At 43.9% G+C, this 7,234-nt stretch overlaps 1 annotated feature.

Moving 5' to 3' along the window:
* Positions 1,407–1,908: an enhancer, noted in NCBI's record as "H3K4me1 hESC enhancer chr8:104117877-104118378 (GRCh37/hg19 assembly coordinates)". NCBI's record gives its function as "activates a minimal SCP1, AML or CMV promoter by ChIP-STARR-seq in primed H9 embryonic stem cells {active_cell/tissue: H9 hESC(primed)}" and the evidence as "EXISTENCE:reporter gene assay evidence [ECO:0000049][PMID:30033119]".

Below are 7,234 nucleotides of genomic sequence, written 5' to 3' on the forward strand. Positions count from 1 at the left end.
CCTCCCGAACCTCGCCAGGACTCTTCCTAGAAGGTGCTCAAGAATTTATCTGGAAACTGGATTTAAAAAACAAAATAACAAAACAAAACCTCCCCAAAACAGGTAATTAGGGCTTCCCTGACAGCAGGGGGCTCCAGTCACCCACATGATAAATGTAAAGCAAACATTTCCATTACAGATTTGTTTTGGTAGCTTGGTTAGACGTTGAGTTTAAGATACATGCTTAAAATTCTTTTACAGAGGAAATCTTAAGACTGCCATTATAGAAGCTGCCTAAAAAGTGAGACAAGAGTAATTACTTACAGTATCCAGTATCTACCAGATATGTGGCATGATAATTATTAAAAATTCATAATATCGCTATCACCCACATTTCTAGAAGGTTTGCTAAGTGGCAGGCTCCATGCTAAGAAGCGCTTTACAGTCATCATTTAATTGTCGTAACAATGCTGTGATGGTAACACATCACAGAAGAAACTAGATGCAGTATCACTGTGGCCTGCCCGAAGTCACCTTCCTCAGCCCTGTCTGGCCCCAAAGCTGTGTTCTTAGAACCACTAGGCCAGGCCATACTGCCTAATGCCTGGAAAGCCACTCTTTTCCTTACGAACGGTTATTTGAGTTCTGGAAACCAGCCAAGCCCTTATAGGAAGACTCTTGTTTTAGATTTTGAGGAGCAGGGAGAGAATATGTATCATGATCTGAAATACAAGGGGGAAAAAAGGGAAATGGTCTGATTTGTTCTGAAATCTGAAATTGAATGGAAGGTAGAATCTTTTCAGCCAAAGTGGGTTTTTGTCTCCTGCTGGGGTATTTTCCCAGAGGTCCATATTTTCAGACCCAAAGTCCTTTTTCCTCTCCTGTTGCTTCGGGATTAGGCCAGGAGGCAGGAAACTGGCTTCTAGCCCAGGCTTCTCTCCTTAGCTTGGGTCAAATCCTTAGCCTCCTAGGATGTTCAGGGGTTTTGTTTGCATGTAACGTGGGGATACTCACACTGCCCCTTTCAGAGCTCAGGTTGGCAATGCCGAGTGTTGCACAGACGTGCTGCATCACCGTGGTCAGGACGATGCAGGCAAAGAATCTAGGCACTCAGTATAGAAGATGCACGCAGACTTCCTTTTAAGGAGGGCCTGAGTGAGGGAATAGGCACGCTAGAGAGAGCAGAAAGCTTCGCAGAGGTATATTTTTGGGACTGATACAAAATTCCATGCAGTGACGTTCCAGTGACTCAGCCCAGTGGGTGGAAGTGATTTTAAATAATGACAGTATCATCATCTCCCTCCTCCTACGGTGTCACACACCACCAAACACACACTCACCGGCCCCAGCTCTCCACAGGGCTGAAATGAATGGAGCCAACACATGTGGTTCTCTGAGCAACAGTGTAAAATAATACGTTTTTTGTGCAAATGCTTTCTCTTCCCCGGAAACCAAATCCAGGTAAACAAAGGGTGATTTTTAAAAAGTCACCTTGCACATCCTCAAGTTTTAAACAGTCCTCTGGGAGTTAAGTGATTATAATTATAGCCACCACCATCAGGGAAGAAGCCACTTGAATTAATTAGAAAGGGAAGCCACCCAATTTCGGTTAAAAATATTTAGAAATTGGTAGCATTTTAGAAAAAAAAAACCGCAGTAATTGGACCAGGCAGCTTACAGATGCCTCTTTTCGACAGAACAATAGGGGAATCAGCCCAGGAAAGAGGGTGCAGGCCATGACCGGGTTTGGATCTAATAAGTGACCAGTGCACGGGGTGGCTCCTGGAACCAAAACAATGCCCGGCACAGTGGGGAGTCTTGTGTCCTCCCGGAACCCGGGGGCCTCCAGAGGGAAAGGGTCAGTTAAGGACGTTGCTGGGGCTTCTGAAGGAGTGCAGTGACCCCAACAAAAATTAAAGCCCTGGAGCTAGCAGTGGGGGAAACAAGAGTGGTTTCCTAGGAGCTGCCTCCTTGTGAATAAAAATGAGTCGGAGACAGAAAAGGTTGGATCGGAAAGGAAAAGAAATGCTGAGTGGCATCCACTGTGGGAGCCAGAGGTGGCGGGGAGGGGGGCAGGGTTGGAGCCTTCAGTTTCATCCTCACCTTTGCTCATCCCAGAGCCTAAGTCTCCAGATCGAGAGCTGGAACCAGACGTGATTTATTTTGTATGCATCATCTTAAGAAGCAGTTATTGTGTACTTTAAGGCCAAACATGAATTAAAAAATAAGAGGCTTAAGTCTCCTTGTTAAAAATAGGAGATTTCTCTCCCCTCCTTTTTCTTGGAGCATTTACTTCAGAAACCTTGTCATTGTAAATACTTTCTTCTCTCTTTGAAATGTATATAAACCCTTTCGAAGTCTAGATTGGCATTTCCCAGCTTTATAACCTAGGAATGTCTTTCTCAAGGATCAGGAGGCCATCTCTTTGCAATGTAAGCATTAAGGGAGGTAGTAAACCTAGGTCCCAGTTTCCGAGGGAAGTGAGGGGCCTAACCTCAGTGGGCACCTTGCTCCAAGTTGCAAAACCACCTTCTCTCATAAAGATAGGGGACGTTGGCCAGGCGCGGTGGCTCACGTCTGTAATCCCAGCACTTCAGGAGGCCGAGGTGGGTGGATCATGAGGTCAGGAATTCAAGACCAGCCTGGCCAACATGGTAAAACTCCGTCTCTACTGAAAATACAAAAATTAGCTGGGAATGATGGCATGTGCCTGTAATCCCAGCTACTCGGGAGGCTGAGGTGGGAGAATTGCTTGAACCAGGACCTGGGAGGCAGAGGTAGCAGTGAGCTGAGATCGAGCCACTGCACTCCAGCCTGGGCGACAGAGCAAGACTCCGTCTCAAAACACAAACAAACAAACAAACAAAAACAAAAACAAAAAAGTGGACGTTTGTTCTTCTTCTGAGTAAAGCCAATTAGCTAACACAGGCAAATAATTCTGTCTAGTCCTCTTACTTGACAACTAGTTATTGTTGATCTTGAAAACGTATGTATGGGTTATACCTACTTGACTATATAAAGGGATGAGATTTCTTTCTGTCTTTGCAATCTCTCAGCAGATTGCCTGCAATGTGCGCTACATTCTGGTTTAATGCTTATTCAATTCTCAAAGTGTTTTTGTTTTCTATTACTTTTGTGGGGAGGATTTCTGGGTTAGGAGAAGATATAGTTTTTGGTTATATTTCCCCAACATATCTTACCATATGTCTGGTCTGTGCCTGGCCTCCTGGACTCAATCCATATTTGGTAAGTACGATGTATGTCACCTTGGCTTTTTATAGCTAAAGTTCTCTTAAAGGACTCGAACATTTCCCAAGAGATTATCTTAAAGCTTGGTGAAGTAAGAATCAGATATTATTATTTTCATTTTGTGGTGGTCCCAGAAGGTAAGGGGCCTGTCCAAGCTCATGTAATCTGGAGAAAAGCAAGGAATTGTTAAATATTTGTACTGCAAGACACTGCATGCCTGCTGCCATATCTCCCACCCTGCAGGAACCCATGCTACGTGGATTTCCACTCTATTATAATATTACAGTTTTCTTTTCTGTCATCTGGAATATTCACTTTTCCCTCAAATCTCTGCTTCTGCTCTGTATCAGCATATTTGATCCACTCCTAAGTATAATATGTGTGCAAGACAAAGGGGGACACATGTCCACAGAAAGACCTGTTCATTAATGTTCACAGCAGTTCTATTCACGATCGCCCCAACCTGGAAGCAACCCAAACGCCTATCAACAGGCCAGTGGCTAAACCAGTTGTGTCGTATCCATACAATGGAATACTACTCAGCCACTCAAATAAACTACCTATACATACATTCAATAACATTAGTGAATTTCAAAAGTGTCATGCTGAGCTTAAAAAAAGCCAGATACAAAAGATTGCACATGAATCCATTTATGTAAATGTATGTAAAAGATTACCGGAGTCCATGTACGTAAAAGACTACATATGTGCCCATTTATGTAAAATTCTGTAACAGGCAAACTAAACTATAGTGATGGGAAGCAGCTCAGTTGTTGGCCAGGGTGGGAGTGAGAGAGACTGACTGCAAATGGACACAAGAACACTATGGGATGGAAGAAATGTTCTATCTCTTGGTTAGGGTGGAGGATGCACACATGTATCATTCGTCAAATCTCAAAATGTGCATATAAATTGGGTGTCTTAGTCTGTTCAGGCTGCTCCCCCAAAATATCACAAATTGGGTGGCTTATTAACTACAGAAATTGACTTCTCACAGTTCTAGAGGCTGGAAGTCCAAGATCAGGGTGCCAGCACGATCAGGTTCTGGTGAGGGCCCTCTTGACAACTTCTTGCTAAGTCCTCTCATGGTGGAATAGATAGAGGAGCTCTCTGGGGTCTTTTTAACAAGGGCATTAATCCCACTTACGAAAGCTCCACCTTCATGATCTAATAGCCTCCCAAAGCCCTCACCTGCTAATACCATCACACTGGGGCTTAGGTTTCAACATACGAATTTTGGGGGGAACAAAAGTAGTCCACAGAAAAGGGCATAGTTGATTGTATATAAGTTATACTTCTGTAAAGCTTATTCAACAAATAATTATACATTTTTGTCTGTGCACAAAATTTGAAATAAAAAAGAAAAACAATAACAAAATGCAGTTTGCTTTCTCAGCCAAGGTGACCTAGTTCACAGATGACAGGAGAGCGACCTTTCTGCAGAGCCCTCTGCGTGCATCACAAGGGTTGCCCCTAGCCCATCCCCAATCTCTGAAAAGATGCAGACAGAGAGCTGGTCATAATAACCTGCAGCTGGGAGTGATGTGCTCCCAGAGTTCTTCTCCCGGGAAAGCCGGCATTGTCAGGAGAATCACATGCAGCCCACAGCTGGCGGGCTTTGTGTTGAATCATGATGCTTTTATAGGAAAGAAAGGGCTGTGATTCACATGTGTCATCGTTGATGGGAATATTAAGGGCTCCCTTCTCCTGGGGGAAAAATAGAAACCTCTCTCTTTAAATATTGCATTTCTTTCAAAACAAAAAGTCACTTCAGCTCCTCCCCACTGATTCATTTGAGAGAAAAAGCTGTCAGGCCCCGTATTTGGTTAAGGCAAATCCTTTCTCAGAACAAGATAGTGCTGTGTGTAGGAAAATCACCTAACTCTTGTCAGTGTTTATCAGATGTGGAGAGAAAACCTGCTTCTCTCTTTGTCATGTGACCCATCGCTCCTGCTGGCATCGTGCCATCAGCTGAGGGGTGACTGGGTTTCCCACCCACAACAAGGGTTCAGGTAGGGGCCATGGGCCTGAATTGTAATTCAGTGTTTTGAAACAGATAGCACAGTTACTAGAGGCTGGGAAGGAAGGATGAAGAAGGATTGGTGAATGGGTGCAAATATGCAGTTAGATAGGAGGAATACGTTCTAATGTTTGATAGCACAATAGGTGACTGTAGTTAACAACAATGTATTATGCATTTCAAAATAGCTAGTAGAGAAGACTTGAAATGCTCCCAACACAAAGAAATGATAAATACTCAAGGTGATGGATTTCCCAAATGTCCTGACTTGATCATTACACATTGTGTATATGTTTCCAAATACCTTATGTACCCTGTAAATATGTACAAATACCATGTATCATTTAAAAAATGAAAAATATAAAATAGACATCACGAAGTCAGCAGATATCAGAATGGGATCTGAGAGAGATTTTAAAAGAGGCCTTTGTACACAAATCAGATTTCTATTCACCTTAAGTATGGGCTTCCTTGAAGTCTTAAGGAAAGAAAATGAACCAGACTAGCATTTTTCAGTCCAGAAATCACGGGCTGGCAAATGATCTAAATTCTCTCCAGTAACTCCAGGAGCAAGGGAGCTGAGAAGAGGATTGGAGGGCCTGAGGCAGAGGGGACTAATATGGATATCAACAGCCTGAGGAGCTGCTACTGGGGACAACTTGAGGCACACCAAGGTTACCCTCTACCCTGCCATCCTCAAGTCCCTCTTGGTTTTGGAAACCTCAAGTCTATGAAGCCGATGAAGCCTCCTGAACCACCTCAGAGTGGTTGGGTTTACTTTAACAACCAAACCCATCGCCCTGTCCCCAGGGAGCTTAAGACAGAGGCCAAGGTGATTGAAGAAAAAAAAGGAAGGAAATAGAATAAAGACAAGAGTCAGCTCAAAAGCTTCCCCTTTCCTGGAATTAATGGCAGCCTCAATTTATTCTCATCTGTATTAAAAATTGTTAAGTAATTAATGTGCGCATCTCTTCTGAAGCTGATGTCATGTAAGACACTAGGAAAACTGAGACCTAGTCCTTACTCTCAAAGAGTTCCCGGCTCAGTAGGGGAAGCTGCTACAGAAACCCGATCTCATCATTCAGTGTTTTAGAAACAGTAACAGTGATAACAGGCTGGTGGGGTGGAGTTGTGTTGAGAAAACAGAGACAGCATCCATGGTTCCAGACATCCTGATGATGACAATAATAATAGTTTACATTTATTAAATGCTTACTGTGTACCAGACATTGTGGTAGGTTTTTATGGCATATCTTCCCTTTTCCTTCCAGCAACTCTTTAGAGGAAGCAGTATCATCATCTTCAGGGTCACCTTGATGGCAGAGCCCACTCTACTCTGGTGGCCCTGGGGGTAACAGGCAACCCTTCAGGAAGGACTGTCCTTTCACCAACACCACCTATGGCTGACAGCCAGCATGGTTCGTTTCTAGCTGTGCTTGGCCGTGAAGTTCAGCTGATCCTGCTCTAGCTATTTGGTCTGGTGTTGAGCTTTGAGATGGCCCAGGGAGAGGGAAAGCAGAGACAGAGGTTGAGACCTGAGTAATGAAACGGAGCTGTCAGGGAGGTGGGGGTGGGAGTGAGAGATTTGTGGACAAAGGCAGTGGTTTTGGGCTTGAATTGTGTCCTCCCCAAAAGATAAGCTGAAATTCTAACCGCCTGACTCCCTGCAGGATAAGACCTTATTTAAAAATAAGATTGTTGCAGATGACTTTAGGTCATACTGGAGTAAGTGAGGCTTTTAATCCAATATAGCTGGTGTCCTCCTAAAAAGAGGAGAAAGACCCACGGAGAGAAGATGACCGCGTGAGAATGAAAGCAGACTGGAGTGATGCAACGACAAGCCAAGGGACACCCAGCATTGCCTGTTGTTGCCAGATGCTAGGAGAGAGGCATGGAACAGATTCTCCCTCAGAAGGAACCAACCCTGCTGACACCTTGATTTCAGATACCTCCAGAACTAGGAGGGATCGATTTCTGTTTTAAGTG

Source organism: Homo sapiens, chromosome 8 (genome assembly GCF_000001405.40).
Source record: "Homo sapiens chromosome 8, GRCh38.p14 Primary Assembly".
NCBI lineage: Eukaryota > Metazoa > Chordata > Mammalia > Primates > Hominidae > Homo > Homo sapiens.